The 23263-nt window shown below is 40.2% G+C and overlaps 1 protein-coding gene across 5 annotated transcripts in view, besides 7 other annotated features; it reads left to right on the forward strand.

Annotated features, from left to right (window-relative positions):
• Nucleotides 9199–9448: an enhancer, noted in NCBI's record as "active region_23668". NCBI's record gives its function as "activates an Ori minimal core promoter by ATAC-STARR-seq in GM12878 lymphoblastoid cells {active_cell/tissue: GM12878}" and the evidence as "EXISTENCE:reporter gene assay evidence [ECO:0000049][PMID:35858748]".
• Nucleotides 12415–12654: an enhancer, noted in NCBI's record as "active region_23669". NCBI's record gives its function as "activates an Ori minimal core promoter by ATAC-STARR-seq in GM12878 lymphoblastoid cells {active_cell/tissue: GM12878}" and the evidence as "EXISTENCE:reporter gene assay evidence [ECO:0000049][PMID:35858748]".
• Nucleotides 12908–23263, forward strand: part of CPEB4 (cytoplasmic polyadenylation element binding protein 4) — a 73632-nt gene continuing 63276 nt past the window's right edge. For 3 of the 5 annotated variants that reach the window (NM_030627.4, NM_001308189.2, NM_001308191.2), the window contains exon 1: nt 12908–15417. In NM_030627.4, the coding sequence (NP_085130.2) occupies nt 14293–15417 (1125 nt within the window). In that variant the 5' untranslated portion in view covers nt 12908–14292. Of the gene's footprint in view, nt 15418–17609; nt 17743–23263 lie in introns of those variants that run through there. The other 2 variants (NM_001308192.2, NM_001308193.2) reach the window with 1 other exon arrangement.
• Nucleotides 14679–15180: an enhancer, noted in NCBI's record as "H3K4me1 hESC enhancer chr5:173317123-173317624 (GRCh37/hg19 assembly coordinates)". NCBI's record gives its function as "activates a minimal SCP1, AML or CMV promoter by ChIP-STARR-seq in naive H9 embryonic stem cells {active_cell/tissue: H9 hESC(naive)}" and the evidence as "EXISTENCE:reporter gene assay evidence [ECO:0000049][PMID:30033119]".
• Nucleotides 15181–15680: an enhancer, noted in NCBI's record as "H3K4me1 hESC enhancer chr5:173317625-173318124 (GRCh37/hg19 assembly coordinates)". NCBI's record gives its function as "activates a minimal SCP1, AML or CMV promoter by ChIP-STARR-seq in primed H9 embryonic stem cells {active_cell/tissue: H9 hESC(primed)}" and the evidence as "EXISTENCE:reporter gene assay evidence [ECO:0000049][PMID:30033119]".
• Nucleotides 15185–15479: a silencer, noted in NCBI's record as "tiled region #13797; K562 Repressive non-DNase unmatched - State 1:Tss". NCBI's record gives its function as "represses a minimal TATA promoter and a strong SV40 promoter by Sharpr-MPRA in K562 cells {active_cell/tissue: K562}" and the evidence as "EXISTENCE:reporter gene assay evidence [ECO:0000049][PMID:27701403]".
• Nucleotides 18576–18695: an enhancer, noted in NCBI's record as "active region_23670". NCBI's record gives its function as "activates an Ori minimal core promoter by ATAC-STARR-seq in GM12878 lymphoblastoid cells {active_cell/tissue: GM12878}" and the evidence as "EXISTENCE:reporter gene assay evidence [ECO:0000049][PMID:35858748]".
• Nucleotides 18706–18825: an enhancer, noted in NCBI's record as "active region_23671". NCBI's record gives its function as "activates an Ori minimal core promoter by ATAC-STARR-seq in GM12878 lymphoblastoid cells {active_cell/tissue: GM12878}" and the evidence as "EXISTENCE:reporter gene assay evidence [ECO:0000049][PMID:35858748]".

Genomic DNA, 23263 nt, shown 5'->3' on the forward strand with positions numbered 1-23263 from the left:
GTAAAGCAACCTCTCTTCAGTGTCCCCATGGCACCCTTATTTATTGGCTTGTCATGCTTACTGCAATTTGGAATTTAGTCATCTCTACCCCGTTAAAATGGACAGTCTTGGGCTTTCAATGGTGCAGCATTTGGGTGTCAACTGATAAATATGGACCACTGACTGAATGACAAATGTGCTCGAATGGCAGTCTGTCGGTTTCCAAAGAGAAGGGACCAACCACATGCAGCTTTTTTCGTAGAGAGCTTCACAGAAAAAAGGCTGCAAAAACATTAGATGGCTAATAATTGACCCTTTATGGTGACCATGATCTTAATAAAAATGATAAACAGTTGGTGAGTAAAGTAAATCACGAACTCTCACACGTACAAAAATTGAGAACCACATTCTCCTCTGGAAAGTGTTTATACCACTTCTTGCTTCAATATTTCTTCATGAAATCTAGAAGCTTTTTATGCAATTGATTTTTTAAAATGCATCCCAGGGAATGATAAACAGCAGCAAGAAAGCCACTCAAATACTTAGAATATGGTGATTGTATTGTCATAAATCTCTGGGTAGAATCTCAACTATGAAAAGAAATGTATGAAAAAAAGACTGGAAATAAATATATCAAAATGTTAATAATGGTTGCTCCAATGGGGTTGGGATGCTGTGCAAATTTCTTTTCTTCTTCTTTTTTAAAAACTTTTCTGATTATTTTACCATGAACATAAATTCATTTTTTATTAATTTTCTATTTTTTTGGAGACAGAGTCTCACTGTGTCACTCAGGCTGGAGTGCAGGGGTGCGATCACGGCTCACTGCAGCCTCAACCTCCAGGGTGCAAATGATCCTCCCACTTCAGCCACCTGAGTAGCTGGAACTACAGGCACACCACCATGCCCAGCTAATTTTTGTATTTTTTGTAGAGACTGGGTTTTGCTGTGTTGCCCAAGCTGGTCTTGAACTCCTGGGCTCAAGCAATTCACCTGCCTTGGCCTCCCAAAGTGCTAGGATTTATAGGCTTGAGCCACCGTGCCCAGCCGTAAATAGAAATAACCAAAAAATTTTTCAGCAATTAATCAAGCTTCTAAGGAGAAAATTTTAAATACTCTGTGATTTGCATACATATATGACAGGATAAAATAATTGCAAGAGAACTAGTCAAAAATATCAACTCTCAGATTAGATAGTCACTCATTCAGGACTGTATTGGGTGAAGGGGATATAGTGCTAAACAAGTCAAGTGTTCTTCTCACCCTCAGGAAGCTCATAATTTAGTAAAAGCCACAAACTCAAATATCAACAGGGGCCAGGCAGCAAGGGGAAAGCAGTGAAATCCACCAACAGGCCCATTCCCAATATTTCCTAATATTTGCAGGTCCAGGGAAAGAATATAAATGGAAGCCCACTCAACATAATCTAGATACTCACAAGCTCTAAATCAAGTTATCAAATTTAATTTAATTTTTTTTTTTAATATGGAGTTTCGCTCTTGTTGCCCGGGCTGGAGTGCAATGGTGCGATCTCGGCTCACTGCAATCTCCGTCTCCCGGGTGCAAGCAATTCTCCTGCCTCAGCCTCCCAAGTAGCTGGGATTATAGGCATGCACCACCATGCCCAGCTAATTTTGTATTTTTAGTAGAGACAGGGTCCTCTATGTTGGTCAGGCTGGTCTCGAACTCCCGACCTCAGGTGATCTGCCCACCTCGGCCTCTCAAAGTACTGGGATTACAGGCGTGAGCCACTGTTCCCAGCCAAATTTAAGTAACTTCTAATCTCTTATCTTGACAAATATACCTTTATAACCACCTGGAAGGCCAGGTTCAAATTTAGAGTTCTCCCTTGCCTGAAGATGATGACTTAGGAAAAACTGGTCCCCAGTCCAGAGTCCTCCCTCTTCAACACCTGCTCTTCTTCTCTTCTCATATCTGACTCCATTTCATACAGCAGGGGGCTTTGCGCAGGTGGGTGGACACTCTGGCCTGCACATACAAGCATCATCCTCTTCCTCACCAAATAATAATAATAAAAAAACAGCTTTTCATTGCCACCCCTTGGGTCCCAGGGTGTGCACCCTGGCAGTGCTGGGTGAATTAACTAAGAAAAGAGGTCTCTGCTGGCTCCAGAAGCAGGCTCGGGTAATTTGGGCTGGGCATTCAGGGTCTCTTGGTACCTGCAGTATGGTCTAGAAGAGGCAATGCAGGCATCTATTGGCTCCTCAGACTTCTTGCAGCATGGAGAAGGGCCAGGGTAGACCCTCGAAAGCAGGCCAAGGGCAGGGGCCCCACTTCTCTGGGCCTTTGGTCAACACCAAAGACTGGGTAGAGACCATGGCGAATTGGAGAGCAAACGCCCCATCTTACAACAGCAGCAGCTGCTCAACTCCAGCCCCAAATTATCATATGTAGGAACACACATCCAGATGGCCACATCTTATACTTTTTGAAGAAAAGACACAAATCTGGATTTTCCTATGAAGTTTCATAATTTTTACATGTTAGCAGGTAATAAGAATAAAAACGTAAATTACTCCGCTGGCCAAACTAAAAATATCTGTGAACCACCTGCCTGTGACTTCTATGAAGGAAAGCAAACCAAACTTCTGTTTACATGTTGCTTGACCACCGTTTAGTTTTGAAAATGATATTCTCCAACTCATTAATGTCACTTGAGCCCATAAGTAAATGATGTTGTCTCCATGGCTGTATATATGTTTGAATTTCATGCATATCTTGTTCCCCAGCAGAATTCCAATTTACCTGGCACCTTCCAGTACCGATGTCTGTCCCCATAAGCCATCAGAAAAGACCTGATGTATGGATCTACACATTTTTCTTCCCTGATGCTGACTTTGATCATGCTCTTCTCTCTGACCTTCCATCTTAACCTGGGCACAAAGCTCTCACTGCACTGCTCGTATCTCTTTACATGGCTGCTTAAATGCCATTATCTCCTTACATGGCTGTTACTTTGAAAATTATCTCCATGTCCCCAGGGCCTATCACTGAGCCTGTCATGTGGTAGACACCTAGTACATTTTGTTTGTTCTGGAACTGAATTCATTGGTGTTTTGTTCTCCACGATGACCCACATCTCCCCAGTCAGATATGAATAATAATTATAGATGATAGTTCTTGGACATTTGCTATAGGCTAGGTACGATGCTAAGAGCTTTATACATATTACCTCGTATAATCCTTTCAACTAACTGCTCAAAAAATGTTATCCTCATTTTCCAGATGCTGAATCTGAGGTTCAGAAAGACAAAAAGACCTGCTCACAAGTCTCTCAGCTGGCAAATGGGAGAGGTGGGACTTGAGCCAATCCTGCCTGCTCTGAAAGGTCTGTGTTCTTAACCAGGAAGTCGGTGCCTCCCTAAATGTCCTTGAGCTCTTTTGGATAGTACACAGAGGAACTGTCTCTTATTTTGATTTCTAGACATTTGTTCCACTCAATATGCATTTATTTCAGTGTATATTAGGAAAAATAAATAACAGTAACTTCTTATGGCATATCATATTGATTTTTCATTTACATTAGTAATACGGAATTTTCCTTTTAACTTATTTACTTAAGTTCTAAAATATTGAGTCCATTTACAAACAATGTTGAATGAATAATAAATACGATATGTAGTACAATAATACAATACAAATTATGTATCAAGTATATACAAAGGACTAGGATTTGAAAAATACTGCCTCAGAAACCACCATATATGGGTTTAAAAGAAACACACACACAATGAAACTAATAATTAAACTCTCACCACTCTCACTTGGAACTTGCATTTCCAAGTTTGTAGAATGTTGCTTAAAAAAAATATTCCAGACCCTGCCTAATGAAGACTCCAAGCAGTCTCTAAATTGCTAACTTTGAAGCATGTTTATTTCTTTTTCCTGTTTCTATTTTTGGAATTTAAATGGCTGAATGGATTTTTAAAAATTGCCTCTAAATAAAAAATGAGCCAGGGGCCTGGAGCTCTCTTCTGTCTCATTTGAACTCTGAGCAAATGGTGAATTACAACACCCCTGGACATAGTGGTTTCTAACTACCAAGCTGCCAGGCTTTTAAATAACAGCAGCACCGAATTGTGGCCATAATGCTACCTATTTCCCTTGATAAATTATTTATGCACTTATTATATTTTACATGGGCTGCTGAATCTGAAGGTACTTCTTTGGGGGCCAGGTGATTTCAAGAAGCCCATTACTGAGAATCAACTCAACAACATTAGAAACTAGCACATCCAATTGTATGTGATATTACTCATTAATATTACATCGTTACTGCCTCAGCAGTTGTTTTGGGTGGTGATAACTTTATGTGTGTGTGTGTGTGTGTGTGTGCATGCACTATCCAAAGGCTTCAAGGCAATCCACTTCATTAAGAAGCTGTTTAACATTGAGGGTACATCAATAAAAACTAGCTTAATGCAATCGTGGAACTGTACCTAAGATGACTCGGCCAAATGAAGCTATTACCCATATAATGTGTTTCACACAAGATGGAAATGGTTTACTAAGTTTATAAAATCACTCTCCAGGATTTACAGTGACTGATTTGCTGTAAGATCAGCAGTGTGGTAGAAGTTTTATGCTAACAGTAACTTCACATATGCTCTTAGGAAATTGCTATATTTTCCTCCAAAACAACACAAAACAGCAATGAAATAGAGAGCACTGTTTGTAAAATGTTCCAAAGCACGCTTGTAATTCATCCTAACATTTAGTATTTGGACTTTGTTTGTGACTTGCATAGAAGAAACAAATTAATTAATTCAGCCTTAATTCAACAAACACTCATTAAACGCTTACTATGTGCTGGACAAAATGCTGGGCCCAGGGAACACCAAGGAGAAAAGAAGAGTCCCTGACCTGGAGGAGCAACTCCAGTAGGTAGGCTCTAAATGGTCAATTCCATAATTGTCAATTATGCCGCTAAGTGTCCATGCCAACTAGGAGAAGACACTCACTTCTGCTCCAAGGGCAGAGAAGGCCATGCATGCTTAGTAGAAGCTCCCCGGGCAAACAAAGCAGGCGAGACCTACGGTAATTTTATGGTGGGCATGTGAGACACTTGTTGATTCCTCCAGAGCCTTTCCCTCCTCCTTTGCTAGCTGAGTCCTGATTTTGTTTATGTTTCAGGTTGAGCTCCTTTGGTCTCAGGGAAGGTGGGTCCATGTCTGATCTAGATCAAGGAATGTGACCCAGCTCTGACCAAAAAGATGTAATAGGGAGTGAGCAAGTGGAAAAGGCCTTTCCTATCTGATCAGAGGAATGTTCATGATGAGAAACTCTAGGCTCTTTGCAGCCCTTTCCCTCTAGCTTCTGAATGCCTGTGTGATGACAGGGACTGTGGCAGATTTCTTAAGACCTTGGAGGGAAGACCAAAAACGTCTAGAGATTCCAACCCAGATCCCTGACATCACTAGCCTTCCAGCACCAGCAACCACCCACTCCAGCCTTCTTGATGTGTGAGAGAAGTAACCTCCAATTGTTTAAGGCACTGTGTTACTTGCTGCAAATAGCATTCATGACTTATTGCAAGTTTGTGGAAACACAAGTTTTTCAGGGTGCTTGAAGCAATGCTCTTAAAGGGTTGCAAGGGATGATGCTGAGACGTCAAGCAGGTGCCAGGCTGTTGAGGGCCCTGATGCCACATTAAAGGAGTTTAGCAGTGCTTTCCAGGCAATGGGTCCTTTCCCAGTGGGATACATCAGATGACTGGAGGCAGCACACATATAAGGCAATGCATAATCTTGAATCACACAACCAGACATTTAGCTCTGTTCCCATTCTCTTTCAGTCCTTCTAATTACATAAAGAAGATCTTTCAAAATTGGCCTAGGTGGCTCACGTCTATAATCCCAACACTTTGGGAGGCCAAGGTGGAAGGATCACTTGAGCCCAGGAGTTCGAGACCAGCCTGGGCAATATGGTGAGACTCTGCCTCTACAAAAAATTTAAAAAATTATTAGCCAGGCATGGTGATGCACACCTGTGGTCCCAGCTACTCAGGAGGTTGAGGTGAGAGGATGGCTTGAGCCCAGGAAGGGGAGGCTGCAGTGAGACAAGGTGAGAGAGCCATTGTACTTTCTCTAGGTGACAGAGAGAGACCCTGTCTGTTAAAAAAAAAGGAAAAAAAAATTGGCTTAGGAAGTCTTTACTCTCTCTAACCTTATTAATCTTCCTTTTCAACAAAGATAAAGAATTTTGATAATTACCTTTTGGTTATAGCAAGTGGTACTTGTTTTTCATTTTGGTTGGTGAATCAAGTTTCCTTGAATGTATACTTATTTAAATTTTTTTAAAGTAAGTCAACTTACTGAAAAATATTAAATAAGTGATAGTGCAGGAGCTACACCTACATGGCAAAAACTGCAACGCTGTAATGAAAAACACTGAAGTTTGAAAAATACAGTTGAGTACATCAGGGAGCCACTCAAAGTGTTTAAGCAATGGAGTAATGTAATTAGACTCCCCATTTACAAAGATTTAGTGGACAAGGCCAGGCATTAAGCCTGAAAATGACTTTTGAAAAAAAAAACCAAACAAATTTCAGATGAGAAATGATCAGACTTGAACCAAAGCAGGAGATAGGGAGAAAAGGAGATGCTAAGGAGAGAAAGGGAGGAAAACTTAGGGACCAAGAATAAAAGGATGGAGAGGGAGAGGGAGGAGTTTGGGATGATTCCAAAGTTTGGCTTAGGTAACCGAAAGAATGAATCATGGCACCATTAAATGAGCTAGAGAAAATCGGAGGAGGACTAGGGCTAGAGGGAGGGTGATGGGTACAGTTGGCCACATTGAATTGACAGCCTCTCATTAAACCCAGACGGTGCTGTAGACCACTGGTTCTCAAAGTGTGTTCACCAAACCATCAGCATAGCCTGGCAAATTGCTAGAAATGCAAATTCTTGGCGCCACCCATACTTATTGAATGAGAAATTCTAGTCTGGTTTAACTAGTTCTCTAGGTGATGCCGATGCATGATAAAATTCAAGGACCACTGGGCAGGAGACAGAATTCTGAGTCAAGATACCTGGAGAAAAAAATTTGGATTATTTTAGACAAGGCCTTTCCTTGGGCCTCAGTTTCCTCAGTTGCAAAATGAAGGATTGACTGGGCTATAAGATCTCCAGTAAGTCACCAAACCTCACTGGGTCTCAGTACTTCACCCCTAAATTACCATCTCCCCCTTCTTCTTTAGTAATAGAACCCCAATTTTTAACTAAGTACTTGGGAGTCCAGAATAAAGATCATACTTTCCAATCTCTTTGGCCACCAGGTATGTGACTAAGTTATGACCAATGTGCAGAGAATGGAAGTAATGTGTGTGTCATCTGAAAAGTTTCCTCAAAGAGAAGAGTTCTGTCCTTTTTCATCTTTTCCTCTGTCCTTTGGTCTGGAATGCAGACATGATGGCTGGAGCTTGATCAGCCATCTTGTATCATGAGGGAGAAATCACACTTGGAGGAGAGAAGAGCAATGAGTTAGAAGGAAGCTGGGTTTCTGATGACTCATTGAAACCACCCACTAGCTCTATGTTAACTCTTCTAAACTTCTTTTATGTGAGAAAGGAACTATTTTATTCTAGCCATTTTTATTTTTGACTTTCTCTGCTCCTACATTATTACTAGAAAATCCCTTGTACCTTATACTTTTATTAAAAAATACTATGAGAAAGCCAAATCAGAATATTTGGGGGCAGGGCCTAGGAATCTGCATGTGATGACCTCCCCTGGGAACTGATGAACTCTAAAATTTGAGGTTGGGTGCCTAGGAATTAACTCATATTATTGTTTTATAGTTATATATATATACTCCATGAACAAGGGAGTAAGAAATTTGGGTATTAAAAAGATTATTTTGTTTTTTGTTTTTACACATATTGATGACTTTCTTTGCACTTTTTTTGCTTAAGGGTTTGGAATTGAAACTCTTTGTAGTTCAAATTCTGCCCATAAGGAAATCATCAGACAAACTGGACCAGTGCCTGTGAGCTTATGGCTATGTTGGGGTTAGAATTTTGATCCCTGACTCCCAGCTCTCCGACCTCTGGACCCTGCAGCTTCCCTGCAACCTCTGAAAAGTTACTTTTTTCCCAGCATTGCAAGTGAAAATCCTCCAGCCTAGCCACAAAGTGTTACAGGGCAGCTGTTCAGCAGCATGGCCAGTTTTGATAGATGAAGCGAAGTGTGTCCAATCAAAACAGCAAAGGGTAATCTAGGTCAGCAGCCTGGCCACATAGGTGACTGGAGCCACAAAAGAATCCAACTCATCCCAAAGTGATGCATGTCACAGTTTGGAAGGTCAATCCTCTGTTCTAGCTCACCTAAATCTTTGCCAGGATACGACAATTTCAAGTGAAGCATATCTGTGTCCTGGACCTTTCCAAACCATTTATCCAATAACAATGCACTGGAGGGATTGGCTTCACCACTCACTATCAAAATGGCTTGTTAACTATTCACTCTATGTTAATGATAATACCTCAAATGGGAAGGCAGGAAGAAAATCATGTTTAAAATGCAGAGGGCTTGAACAGGTTGCAAAACAACCAATAAAAGAAGAAAACACGACCCAGCATTAGTTAAAAAAAAAAAATCGGTTCTTTCTAAGTAAATATGCATTCTTTCCAACACTGAAAGAGAGTGAAGATCAGAAGTGGGGTTTAACGAAACCTGCTTTCATGACTTGGTTTTGTTTCTATCAAGCTTGCCTTATGGTAGTGAGCTTCCAGGCACTCTTGGAGAAGAGGATATTCCAAAGGTAATTTCACCTTTCTTTCTTCCCCTACCTTCACAGGCCCTGCCTTTGAATATTATTATTATTATTATTTTTAGTTTCATTAAAACATATATTCCACCACTACATCAGAATGCTTATTAACGTTGCCAGGCAAAGTAACTGCTGGGTATTAATCTCTTGGAGGCCTGGACCATATACTTGTCCAGACTTGTCTTCTCACTACAGCTCACTAACCAAAACCAATACCAAGGACACAGTGTCCTTCAATTCAATTACAGAAAGTTCCTGGGCTGCTAACTCTAAAAGGATCAAGTGCTTTAAATATTTCTGCAGGCAATAAGCATGGCTCATGTAATGAGCTTTTTTTGTATGTGTGTCATATTTGTATAATGTGCCCCTGTGTCTTAGAAAAAAAGAACTGAAACAGGGCTGCTGCCTTGTACAACTCCATTGGATGCATTCACATACTAGTCTGTGGTGCCTTATGAAGTTGCACAGTGCACAACCAGGGCAGCCTTGGGTAGTGGTCCTGATTTTTGGTCATTAGACAAGCCTCTGGGGAGCTCGGGTGTGGGCTATTGGGAGAAGGCTGACAATGCATGCTTCAAGGAAAGTGGTGGGAGACATTAGAGCTGGACTGGGGCAGAGTTCACCTTGTGTGATTATGGGGTGAGATTTCTACTGCTTGCCGAGCTTTAAAAGAGGCTGGTGAAGGAGATATTAATGCCCTGCTTCCTGGAAGGCTCTAGGTTCTGGGTGTGGTTGACCTCAAACCCCAGAGGGGGCTGGGCAGTAGCTACCAGGTTACAGGCATTCCCCAGCCTACAACTTCTCTGAAGGTGTGTTAGCCCTCATTGTACTAGACAGGGATAGAGCTTTTTAATTTTTTTTTTTTTTTAACTAGTAGCACCTTAATGTTTGGGCAGAACTTGCTTCCCCTGCAACCCAAAAACTTTCTGGTGAGCACACTTCATGAAAAAGGCTCTCTTCTGCCAGCAGAGTGCTCAAGCCAGCACTCACCTACATCTGTAGATCCTTTTGGAGATCCTAAATGGAGCTGCTGAATTGTTGTCATGGTTACCATGGGAAGTTTCTGAGGCCAGAATGTTTTCAAGGAGCGCAGCCCTGGGCTCTGGGTATCCTGGGTTCCTGAGTAGGCAACTGATGCCAAAAAAAAAAAAGAAAAAAGAAAAGAAAATAATAGATTTCCCCCTTCCTTCTTCCATACTTCCAGTCCCTAAGCAAGAGTCTGATGTCTTAGTGATCATCCTAGCTGCAAACCATCCCAATCTACTGCCCACACCTGACTTAGCCTTAAAAGATTAGCCCGACTTGGCAGCACCTGACTGTGGCCCTGGGCGTCTCCACCTTTTATCAACCAAGACAAGTTCCTGGATTCCCTTGTGCACACAGCTGCTTCTAGGCAAAAGACACTTGTGAAGGAATTCCCTGCATTTAATGTGTTACAAAGGAAGTGACATTTTTGATCACCTCTGATATGGTTTGGCTCTGTGTCCCCACCCAACTCTTATCTCAAATTGTAATCCTTATGTGTAGACAGAGGGAGGTGATTGGATCAAGGGGGCAGTTTCCCCATGCTGTTCTCCTGATAGTGAGTTCTCATGAGCTCTGATGGTTTTATAAGTGTTTGACAGTTCTTCTTTCACTCTGGTCTCTCCTGCCGCCTTGTGAAGAAAGTGCTTGCTTCCCCTTCGCCTTCCGGCATGATTGTAAGTTTCCTGAGGCTTCCCCAGTCACGTGGAACTGTGAGTCAATTAAACCTCTTTCCTTTATAAATTACCCAGTCTTGGGCATTTCTTTATAGCAGTGTGAAAATGGACTAATAAAACTTTTTAGGAGTCCAGCACTTCACATGTATCCCATGTAATTTACAAACTTAGCAAGAGAGGAAATATCATTCACATTTTATCTAGAAGGAACCAAGGGCTTATAGAGGTGATGCCCAGTTTTGCACAGCTAGGAAGCAGCAGAGCTGGGATTCAAATTCAGGGCTGTTTGGTTCCAAAGGTGCTCTTTTTTCCAAGTCATGGCTGCCATTTTAGCCACTGATAATTAGTAGCTCTGAGGGACCCTAAACCATCTTCTGGGCATGGAACATTCATTTGTTCATTCAATAAATGTGTTCTGAGTTTTGAGTCTGCTCTGTGCCAGACCCTCTTCTGGCCACTGGGGACATAAAGATAAATCAGACACAACCTCTGCCCTTAAGAAACTAACCCACTGACAACCAGCAGTAATTAAAAGAGAGCAATCTACAAGACATTAGAGAGAGGGCCAGTCAAGGAAACCATTCTGGCGGAAAAGACACCTGACGGAACCAGCTAAGTTTCCAGGCATGTCCAGTTGTAGGGAATAAACAGCAGGTAAGACCCAATCTCTATGCTCAAAGAATCCATAGTAGAGTTACAGAGACAAGACTCATGCTCATGGCACAATGAAAGAGAATAAAATCACCGATTGAAGGCCCTCAGGTGTTCTACACGGAAGTGATGGAGGATTGACAGACTGAGGCAGAAGTTGAGACCATTAGAGGAAGGCTATGGAAATGAAATGGAAGCCACCTTTGTTCATACTATTTTTCATTAATCTTGGTATCTTTTTTTTCCCTCTAGTTGTGCCAGTTACTTCTGGCTCTACCCTGATTTCTTTGTTCATTTTTCTTCCTGCTAAAGGAAAATACTCACTTATTTAACATATTTAAAGCTGTGCTGAGAGCAAAGCATTATCCTAAGCCCTGATGGTGGTCATAGCGTTGGGAATGTACAAAGATAAACAGGACATTAAAGCCCTTGAGTACCAAACATAATGAAAAGTCTGATATGTGAGCTCCAAACCAAATGGCAAAAGGAAGGAAATAATTAATTCAGACTTGGAAACAGGAGTGAGGGGTGGGGGGTGGGTGACGGGTGGAAGGGGTGGCAGTGGGTTGGGGGGCTGTCACTCAGGGAAGACTTCATTGTTGCTGGTTTGTTCATTCACGTTTTCAGGATTCATTCACTGATGTCTCCTATCTACAATGTCTGCTCCTGAAAGAGCCCACGGTCCAGCACAGGTCTGGAAGACATAAACCATCACAATATAGTGTGAGAAACAAGCACGAGAGGTACACAGGGCCGTGGACGCTTATAAGAGAGAATTCAGAAGATGCTGTTGGTGGCTTTTGAACTGATTCCTAGAAATAAATAGGAATTTACCAAAGGAGAAGAGTGGAAAGGACATGTAAAAAGGCATTGAGAGTGTGTTTGGAGGGGGAAGAGGCACTAAGATATACCACCCATTAGGTAGAAAGGCTTGAATACCAGACTAACAAGTTTGGCCTTTATCTTCGAAATAATGGGCAACCATAGAAGAAATCGGAGCATGTGAGGGTCAAGATAAAATTTTAGTTTTGGAATTTTCCCTCTGGTATTGCGTGTAAGGTGTACTAGATCGGGATGATACGGGGGCATAGCCACAGACGCCTCAGCTGCATCTCTGCACCTGGGAGACTGCACCAGATGCGAGCCTAGCAGAATGGGAGAGTGGGAGGTGCGGGTGAGCGAATGGAAGGTTAAGGGAGAGTCCCTCGTGAGGTCTACATTCTGGGCAAGGGCAAACGCAGTTCTAGGCACCGCACAGCTGCTGGCAAGACCCGCCTCCCCTTCCAGATCCCTCTGGGGCGGAGCTCGGGCCAGAGCACGTGATGCTTGGAGCACCACCTTTACTGTGGGCACCCTTCTCATTCATCCGCGGTTTCACGGGCCGCCACTTCGATCTCCAACACCTTGACCGTATGCCTTCGTGAGCGAGGAATCCGTTCTCCTTGACACGTCCCTATTGCTCCTCCTGCAAAGCCCAGTTAGGGAAGAGAAATATCAAAGGAGTCCCTTGCCCACACAAAAGATGGCGACCTGCTGCGCTCACTCTGGGTGGGGGAAGCGGGTTCCAGGCGCCGGGCCTCACTAGGCGAGGCGCAGACGGAAGAGGCGTCTCTGGAGGTAACTTTTCGACCTTCCTGGGAGTAGCTCTGAAGCGAGGGGGCGTGGCCTCGCCTGAGTTCTAACAGATGATTGGTCTTCCGGCAGGTAGGTGGGGAATGAGTGCTACCCCCACCCCTCCCTCTTCGAACCGGAAGTGTCTCTGGGTCTTTCCAGCTGGTTGTCATTTCACTCGGCTCGGTCCTGAGGAGAAGGACTCAGCCGCGGCTGCGGGACCCGGGCACCGGGAGGCGGTGGCGGCGGCGGCGGCGGCAGCAGCGGCGACAGCAGAGGAGGAAGAGGAGGAAGAAGGAAAGAAAAAGAAGAACCAGGAGGAGTCCTCAACAACGACAGCGGGGACTGCGGGACCAGGGTAAAGCGGCGACGGCGGCGACGGCCCAGCAACCGTGAGGAGAAACAAAAGCCTTCTAAATTATAGTTTAAAAAAAAATTCTGGGGGAAAAGAGAGAGAAAGCCGAGGGGGGAGGCCCTTCTCCTTTAAAATAACTACGGTAGTGGGTTTTTCCTTTTTTTCCTCTTTTTTCCCTCTCTGCGGAGAATCGAACTGAGGGAACTGAACAAACCGCCCCTGGGTCCCATGAGGGAAAAAAACCCCGGAGCCGCAGAGAGGGGAAGAGGCAGAAACCGCAGGACCTTCCAGGTCGCCCCCTCGGTCCCCGCACCCCCAGGCCGCCCGCTCACCCTCGTCGAGTCTCGCTAATCCCTCCTGATCGCGACCCCCGCAAGAGGGAGAAACGGGTGTTTCCAACCCCTTTCATGGGGGAGAGGAAGCCGCGGGGAGCCCAGGAACAGCGACCGCAGCAAGATCTGCACCCGGAGCCTCAGGAACAGCCCCAGAGGCCAAAACTGCACCCTGCGAAAGAGCAGAAAACAGGACCAGGAACAGCAGAAACCTCCCTGCAATCATCTTTCCATTAGTCAATGCTGATTTCCTCTCCCGAAACCAGGAATTCACTTCCCACCCCAGATAACCTAATATAATCTATATATATAAATATATAATATATAATGTTCTTAAATTATTCCTGATTTTTTTTTAACCAAGCTGCCAAGAAAAGAACGTATTCCCCTCTTAGTCCTATTCTAATTTTTATGTGAGTGAATCTAAACTGCTGAGGAAAACCATATGTGATTGTTAAATTATATATATCTATATTTTTACTCCGCGCAAGGCTTATTCTTCTACATCCATAGATGCTTGAGAAGCTCTGTTTTTGTCATTCATGTACATTTTCCTTTGGAAAAAGAAAGCGCCTATTTTACTAACCAAAGACTTGATTTTTACCCTCTTCATTTTTATTCCCTCCTAAAAATAAGCCCAATTGGATCCAAGTCAATGTTTTAAGAGATTTTTTTAAGAGTTGTTTTTTCTTTCAGAGACCAGAATTCCAAATCAGAACAATTTAAGGTGATAAGCTGCGATCTTTGAGCTAGCTATAAATAAGACATTTCAAGCAAGCAAGCAAACAACTTAAATTTGGGGTAGAGGAAAAAAAAGGCGTGAGACATCAGGTTGTCATTTTTTATTGTGAGATTCTGCTCCTAAAGATAATAAATGGGGGATTACGGGTTTGGAGTGCTAGTGCAAAGCAATACTGGGAATAAATCTGCTTTTCCAGTCAGATTCCATCCACATCTGCAGCCTCCACACCATCACCAAAATGCCACCCCCAGCCCTGCTGCTTTTATAAATAATAACACAGCTGCCAATGGCAGCAGTGCTGGGTCAGCTTGGCTTTTTCCTGCTCCAGCTACCCATAACATTCAGGATGAGATCTTGGGGTCAGAAAAAGCAAAAAGTCAGCAACAGGAACAGCAAGACCCCTTAGAAAAGCAGCAGCTTTCCCCAAGTCCAGGTCAGGAAGCTGGAATACTGCCTGAAACAGAGAAGGCAAAATCAGAAGAAAATCAAGGGGACAATTCTTCGGAAAATGGCAATGGGAAGGAGAAAATAAGGATCGAATCTCCAGTGTTGACAGGGTTTGATTATCAAGAAGCCACTGGGCTAGGTACTTCAACCCAACCCTTGACATCTAGCGCATCGTCTCTTACTGGTTTCAGTAACTGGTCAGCAGCGATAGCGCCTTCCTCCTCTACAATAATCAATGAAGATGCAAGTTTCTTTCACCAGGGAGGGGTCCCTGCTGCTTCGGCTAATAACGGTGCTCTGTTGTTTCAAAATTTCCCCCATCATGTCAGCCCTGGCTTTGGAGGCAGCTTCTCTCCTCAGATCGGGCCTCTCTCACAGCACCACCCACATCACCCTCATTTCCAGCATCATCACAGCCAGCATCAGCAGCAAAGGAGGTCTCCTGCCAGTCCCCATCCCCCACCCTTCACACATAGAAATGCTGCTTTTAACCAGCTGCCTCATTTGGCGAATAATCTTAACAAACCCCCCTCTCCGTGGAGCAGCTACCAGAGTCCGTCACCAACACCCTCCTCTTCCTGGAGCCCGGGCGGTGGTGGATATGGTGGCTGGGGAGGTTCCCAAGGCCGAGATCACCGCAGAGGGCTGAATGGTGGAATAACGCCCCTGAACTCCATCTCGCCTTTGAAGAAAAATTTTGCAAGCAATCATATTCAGCTCCAGAAGTATGCTCGCCCCAGCTCTGCCTTTGCACCTAAATCCTGGATGGAAGATAGCTTGAACAGGGCTGACAACATTTTTCCTTTTCCGGTAAGATTATGTTCCATTAATAGATTAGGATGAATAAGGAAATAGCATGGTGTAATATCTATGTAACTAGAGTTTGAAGTGCCCGTATTCACATCAGAGCTTTTCTTAGAGAGAAAATGAATCAATAACCAGACTTTATTTTAGCAGGAGTGTAATTGGAACAAAATATTCAGCTGTTTCTTTGGCAGTTTTCTAAATTGTAGCCTTAATCTTGTCATAGATAATTATGAATACCTGGTAGCTGGTGATGTAGTAATTATTAACTATAATACCTTTCTTGCCTGACATGAGAATCAGGGTCAGTTTTTTCCCTATTTAGATGAGAATAAATAATATATAGATATAAATATATTTCATTGCAGAAACTATTGAATGTTTTCTGAAGTAACTATATAACTAAACAAATTTCTTTTGACACTATAAGGTAGTGATTCACTGAAAACCAGCTATTGAATTACAGTTTTCTCACTGGTTGGTTGCATTTTAAACCTGGAAACTCTCTGAACCTTGTAGGTCTGAACAGCCTGAATTGATGGACTTGGCAATTCCTCTTAAACCTCTGCAAATTTTGGCCTACCTTTCATCAGTAAGGACTATCTAGTGAGAGAAATGATCTAAATGTTTTCTTCATCCCCATTTATTTTTGAACACTGTGAAACTGTTCATCTCAGAGTGACTCTTTATGCCTTTCACCCGTTTGTTTATTTTCCAATGTTAACATTGAAGATGTAGATAATTAAACCATTCCTAAAAATAGATCCAGGCAAAGATCATTTGTCTTTCTTGCTACCAGAATATCTTTATTCTGGCAAGAGTCATTGATGTTTTTGAATTAATGAGCAGCAAGTTAGGTTGATATGAACTAGATAAAGGGAATTTCATAGGTGGTTGAACGTCAGATGCTCCACTAAATGTATATACTTTGAGGGTATGATTATATGTGTTTAGGAAATTTATAAGGGGTAAGAATCTAGCATTGAATCTAGTTTTCCCAACAACCTCACAAGATGAGTTCTGTTATTATCCCCATTTTACAGATGCAGAAATTGAATATGAGAAATATATAATAACTTAGCCAAGGGTACACAGCTGGTCAGAGTACAAATTCTAAGTTAAAAAAAAAAACAAACCCAAGGATTGAAAATATGTATACATACATGTGTGCACGTACACATGTGCTACAGCTAGAGGGTTACTTTAGAAATATTTCTGCAAAGGCTGAAACAGATTATAGAATCATTGCACTGTTCCCAAATACGATGTTAGCCCTAGCAGAATTATCTGTTTTAATTAGTAATTGACTGAGAGGGAGGGGAAGTTTGCTAAGAGAACCCTATGTCATTCCTTTCCTAAGGATTCAGGTGCAGTGCATCTTAAAATATGTGGGTATATTTAGTTTTCGACTTCTAAAAACGATTTTTTTTTTTTTTTGCCTATCAAAAAGCTGTTGGCATTTGCTTTAAAGGGTTTCAGTTGTTAAAACCAAAGATCAATTACTGTGCTTTAGTGGTCAAGTAAAAAGGCTGTTTAAGACATTGACAATCCCATGAAGTCTATTTTTAAAAAGTTGCCTTTGATATTCCTTTGAACATAAATTTAAAGAAAATTTAATGCAAAGATAAGTTTTATGAATTATTCTTATATTGCTAATTTAAAAATTGTAAGTTAACATTCAGTACATTTTAACTGGATTAAGATTTGGCTCAGAACTAAATACACCTTTTTTTCTTATTTTGCTACTATATGCTGACACAGTGAATTTATGTGGCCTCACAGTTTGGTTCCCATTCTCAGCTTACTGACTTTTGTTAAGATTGCTTTAGGAAAAATGAAAAGTTCAGACAATGAATAAAATATACATATATGCACATTAATATTTTTTCCTATTGGGCTAATAGAGTGTGTGTTATGTGTGAAATCTTTTTGAACAGTTTCTTTGGAGATTAAGTTGATTTATGAAATAATAGTTAGACTAAGATTGATACTAAAATATATTGTTAGAAACTAACTCTTCCCTTAGAACTGCTGTCTTTTATATTGATTATGGGAAAAGGATGGTCAGTGTACCTGACTTTCAAATATGGTAAGATTCAAAAGTAAATTGTTAATTCTGCTCCTCATCCCCACCATTTGTAGCTCTGTGTGTGTGTGTGTGTGTGTGTGTGTGTGTGTGTGTGTGAGAGAGAGAGAGAGAGAGCACACGCACACATGTATGAGGAGAGAGCTAGCAGTGGGGTGATTTGAAAGTCACAAGAGAAATAAATGATTTGAAAAAAATCTCTATGACAAGAAACTCCTAATTGGGTTTTGAAAAAGTCTAAAGAAGTAAGTAAACTGACCACTGTGATTCTTACTTAAATGGATACAGTTCTTTTTGCTTTTTAAAAACCAATAATTCTTGTGAATTAGTTATTTTTGAGAAAAAGTATCATTTTAAGTTGGTATAAGTAACTTGGTTAAATTTGTCTTATTTAAATTTATAACTTGCAGGCACGTGCCTGTAATCCCAGCTACTTGGGAGGCTGAGGCAGAAGGATTGCATGAGCCCAGGAGTTTGGGACCAACTTGGGCAACATAGTGAGACCCCCGTCTCAAAAAAAAATAATTTATAACTTAAACACTATTAATTTTAGGAAAGAAATTTTATAGATATTAGCACTTCAATTTAATTACTATTAAAATAATTCCTTTCTTCTGCAATATTTCTCACAGGGGAAAAAAAAAGAATAAAAAGAATTCCTTAGGCGTGATAGAGAGATCTTGAAACTTACCACAGACATTAAGGATAGTGCTTACATGGGTACATTATAATAATGGTATTCAATCAAAGGCCAGCACGTTATTGTTATATTGAAAGGAAATAATTTACCTGAAGTGTAACTGATATTAGGCAATGTTTATTTTAATTTGAAATGAACCAGAATGATTTTTACGTTTGTTTACTCAGGTTTGGGTACATATAATGAATTAAAATTAATAACCTTTTAAATTCATAATCCTCCCCCCCAATAACTGATAGGGGAAGACATTTTATTTGGAGGATTTTTGTATATTAAAAGGTGTTTCTAAGTTATTTTTGCTTAGCTTAAAGCTTCATTACATGAATTCAGAGGGCATCACTCAAATCCTGATTTTGTTTGTTTGTTTCTTTTAAGACAGGGTCTCGCTTTGTCACTCAGGCTGGAGTGCAGTGGCATAATCACAGCTCACTGCAGCCTTGACCTCCCTGGGCTCAAGAGATCCTCCTGCCTCAGCTTCCCCAGTAGCTGGGACTACAGGCACATACTACTATGCCCGGCTAATTTTTGTATTTTTTTGTAGAGACAGGGTTTCACCATGTTGTCCAGGCTGGTTTCAAACTCCTGGGCTCAAATAATCCACTCGCAGTGCTGAGATTGCAGGTGTGAGCCACCGTGCCTGACTGAAATCCTGTTTTTAGACACAGCTAAAGTAATATGCATATAATAATAGCTAACATGTGGCGGGGTGCGGTAGCTGACGCCTGTAATCCCAGCACTTTGGGAGGCTGAAGTGGGCGGATCACTTGAGGTCAAGAGTTCAAGACCAGCTTGGCCAACATGGTGAAACCCTGTCTCTACTAAAAATACAAAAATTAGCTGGGCGTGGTGGTGGGTGCCTGTAATCCCAGCTACTCCAGAGGCTGAGGCAGGAGAATCGCTTGATCCCAGGAGGTGGAGGTTGCAGTGAGCTGAGATCATGCCACTGCACCCTAGCCTGGGGGACAGAGTGAGACTCCGACTCAAAAAAAAAAAAAAAAAAATCTAACATGCCTCCTGTGTTCTAAATGTTTTACATGTATTGATTCATTTAATTCACTCAACAATCCTATGAAGCAGAAATTATTATTATTTTTATTCACAGACAAGATTTGGCTCTTAATCATTATACTACAGTGCCTCTTCACATAATGATAATATGGCAGGGGGATAGTGGGTGCAGGTGGGGCTGGAAGGGAGAGTGCCTCCCAGACGCATGTAAGATGAGAGGAAAAAATTTTACAGTGATACATGATGATCAAAGGCTGATTGTAGATAGAGTATTGAAAGGGGAAAATAATTGAGTATACTTGTTTATCAACTTTAAATGTTAAACTTAGATAATATTTTGGTCAATGCTTTTGTTTTAAATTTTGAGCACATGTTATATACCAGGCACTGGGCTAGGTGCTTTCAAATATGTTATTTCACTTCCTATGTGGGATTTCTCAGCCCTGTGACATTTGGTTTTATTGTCCCAATTTCAAAATGAAGGTCCATATTCATGTGACTACAGGCATGATTGGACCCTTACAGTAAGGAAAAAAAAAATCCTGTCTTACCAAACATATCTTAGAATTCTGACATCCAAAGCAGATAATATATTGGGGCACCTGCCAATAATTATATTTGAGTATAGCATTTCTTTGGAGGGGTGCCTGGATCTTCTATCCTTACAGGAAAGTAAAGGAGAATTACTTAGTATATGTGCTGACACCCTCTTAACTACAGCTCAATTATGTTGCCGCTTTCATTAGCTAAGAGTCAGGTAGGAAGGAAAAAGACAAAATCAGTATGTCACAAAGACTATCCTAAAACTTGTTTGATAGGGAAACAAGTGTCTAGATCCTCAAAATTATATACTGCATCTTATATTTGCAAACAGAACACTGCTGGAGTGCTTCAGTTCTAAAAGTCATGGTGGATTATTAAAATTGTCTAATAGGCAACCTCATTACATTTTCTTGTTTCTTAATACAGTATCGTTCCAAGAAGGATCTTTGCATAGGAAACATTTTCTTTGACTTAGAAGGGGAGAAATCAGTTTTTTCAACTGTAAATTGTGGGTCGGATGGTTCTAGATCTAGCAGAACTGACATATTGGAAAAATCTTCCTCTTTGTAGAAGGCTTTTTAACTAGGTTAGATAGCTTTTCTGATGAAATTAAAACTAATTCCAGGGTAGAGTTTTTTTCTTTTTCTTTTTCTATCTTCAGAGAAGCCATCTTCAGAGAAGCCATGGAATATGATCAGCACATTGTTCCAACACCTTTCAGGAAAAACCTGTTTATCGCAAGCCTAATAAATGTGGTTGTTGCTGGTTGCAACTAGAAAGATGCTACTTAGCTCATGAGTTTAAGTTTTTGAAAGTCATCGTTGTTGGTGTTCATAAGAAAGAAATGGGGAACCTAGTTTTTAAATTAACATATGCCTAGGTTTGAATTTGACAGTTTCAGTTTATTTTCCTTATGACTTTCTCTATTTTGCTAGGAGGAAAATAAGCTTGATAATTCGCTGTCATATTTTTTCAGCGCTGTATTGTACCTCAGTTTTTGGTCTCATCTCACATAAGATAATGTGAATAATGTGCTTCTCTTTAAGGCAGAGAGCCTATAATGTGAGCATTTTAACTTTTTGTGACAAAATTCATTTTATTTTATGTTTAATTGTTCAAAGTTGCCTTGCAGAAATTAAAAGTATGTTTTACCATGATAAATTTAGAGCAATATATTTTTTAAAATTCAAATTTATTGGAGATTCCCATCCATTTTTTCTCACCGCATTTTATCTTATTGAAACAGAATGAGTTCCACCTTTAAGTTTTCAAAAAATACTTAGTAGATAGAAAGATAAAGTTGTTGATACTATTTTCAATCAGTTTCTGAAGGTGAAAAGTGAACAATTATTGAGAAAGGCTATTTTGTGAGCCCAAAAATGTAGAGTGAAGCATAGGCTGTGGACTCAGACTTAAGTTTGACTCTGAATTTGAATGTAATTATTTACTATATGAAGCTGTTGTAAAAATAAATAAAATGCATATATAAAGCTTTAAAAATTTTGTCTCTAAACTCTAATGAGCAGTGTGACCTTGAGTAAATCTTTTAAATTCCAGAAGAAAATACCGTATCAAGAAAATAATAACTGGCCGGGCATGGTGGGTCACACCTGTGATCCTAGTACTTTGGGAGGCCGAGGTGGACGGATCACTTGAGCCCAGGAATTTGAGACCAGGCCTGGGCAACATGGTCAGACCCCATCTCTAGAAAAAATACAAAACACTTTTTCTAAAATATGATAATACCTAACAGTGAAGGGTAATGTGAGGCACCTTATGTATGTGGCCATATTAGGTTGATTAACTTTTTAAATTTAAAATATGGCTTTCTTATATTGAATAAAGTTATGAAATTAGTTACAAATATAGCTTGTGTTACTGTGAAATATTTTAGTCATGCTTATCTTGCTATATATGCTTTATTGAATAAGCTATAGATGCAACCCCAGACAGATAAAATATTTAGCAGAATTATCAATTTTCTCGAAGAGAAGTTTTCTAATTAAATATAAGCTTAAACTTTCATTAGCATTGACAGCCTGTTTCTTTCAGGATTTTGAAAGATTTTGGCCACAGTTGTTTTATTAAGAACTTTAGAACATGTGATTGCTTTTGCATACATTAAAGGAGACTACATTTTAATGGAGAATTTATGATTTTTCAGTAAGAGATATGAAAGGGTGCCATAGATTTGAATTGAGAATAGTTTGGCTTTTATCCTGGAATCAAGAGTTTTTAAAAAATATTTTAATGTATTTAGCACACATTTATTGGAGCACCTACTATGTTATGGACTAAGCACAGGACTGTCATAAAAAATGAATCAGTAACATGGTTTGTAATGTATTTTTGACCTGTGCTAATCTTTGAGTAAGACTGAACATGCATTTTTTTCTCTTAAATATTATAAACAAATTATCAACTAGCCCAATAGTTTCATTTTAATCTATAAATTGTTTAATCATTAAGGCAAACTAACATTCAATTTTAGCTATAACAAAAAATTGTATAAATGGCATTTCCAAACTTTTTTATTAACGTAGTCATTAATGTGTTTATAAATATATGCTTATATTTGGAAATTTTAAATTTTTAGAAAATTATAATGTTTTTGGAAAAATATTTGGAAAGTGTAATTATCAATTATAAATACACACTCGTATAAGTTACCGTATGTTTATATATAACATGTGCTGATTTACATTCTATGACAAAATGGTACCACAAAAGGCAAACTTTAACTTGGATAGCAGAATTCTGGTCCTGTTACATGCCAAAGAAAAACTCCATCAGCTACCTATAGGTGCTCATTCATGTTTACAAATGGAATTATTCAAGTTCAAAGCTTTAAGCTGTACAAGCGCATTTTATATTGTAGGTTATTTTGGTTGGGCAATTTCTATTTGCTAAAGATTTATCAGATATATTCTAATCATTTTTTAGTAGACCAAAACTAAGTTATAATTAGTTCCTCAGTATTATATATTTTAAATCTATATTTATTTTAAAATACCATGTAACAATTTAAATAATAGTTCTTCCAGGTATTCTTGAGGAATGCATCTAGTCAATAGGATCATGGTACTAGTCAGTAAAATAGTTGCTGCCATTTTATTGTCTATGAGACCTTAAAAAAATAAAAATATAAGAACGTGACTCAGAATATTCACATACTCTGAAAAAATGTTATTAGAAAACTATCTCAGTTAATGGAAGTCAGATCTGGGTTCCAGATATGGCTCGGCCATTCATTAGCTATGTGACCTAGGCAAGCTACAGCACCTTCTGGGTCCTTTATTTTCTCATTTCTTTTGTCTGGTATTTTTGAGGATAAAATGAAATATGTCTAATATTTGGCTTCTAGAAGATTCTATTGTTTTAAGAAAGCAACTCATCAAACAGAAATATTAAGTCAAAGTTTTATTCAAAATATAGCACAATTTCTTAAAATCTGAAAACCCGTGTGTAACTGGTGTGTGATAATTTGAACTTAATTTTATTTTTTGAGACAAGGT

This window comes from Homo sapiens, chromosome 5 (assembly GCF_000001405.40).
Source record: "Homo sapiens chromosome 5, GRCh38.p14 Primary Assembly".
Classification (NCBI taxonomy): Eukaryota; Metazoa; Chordata; class Mammalia; order Primates; family Hominidae; genus Homo; species Homo sapiens.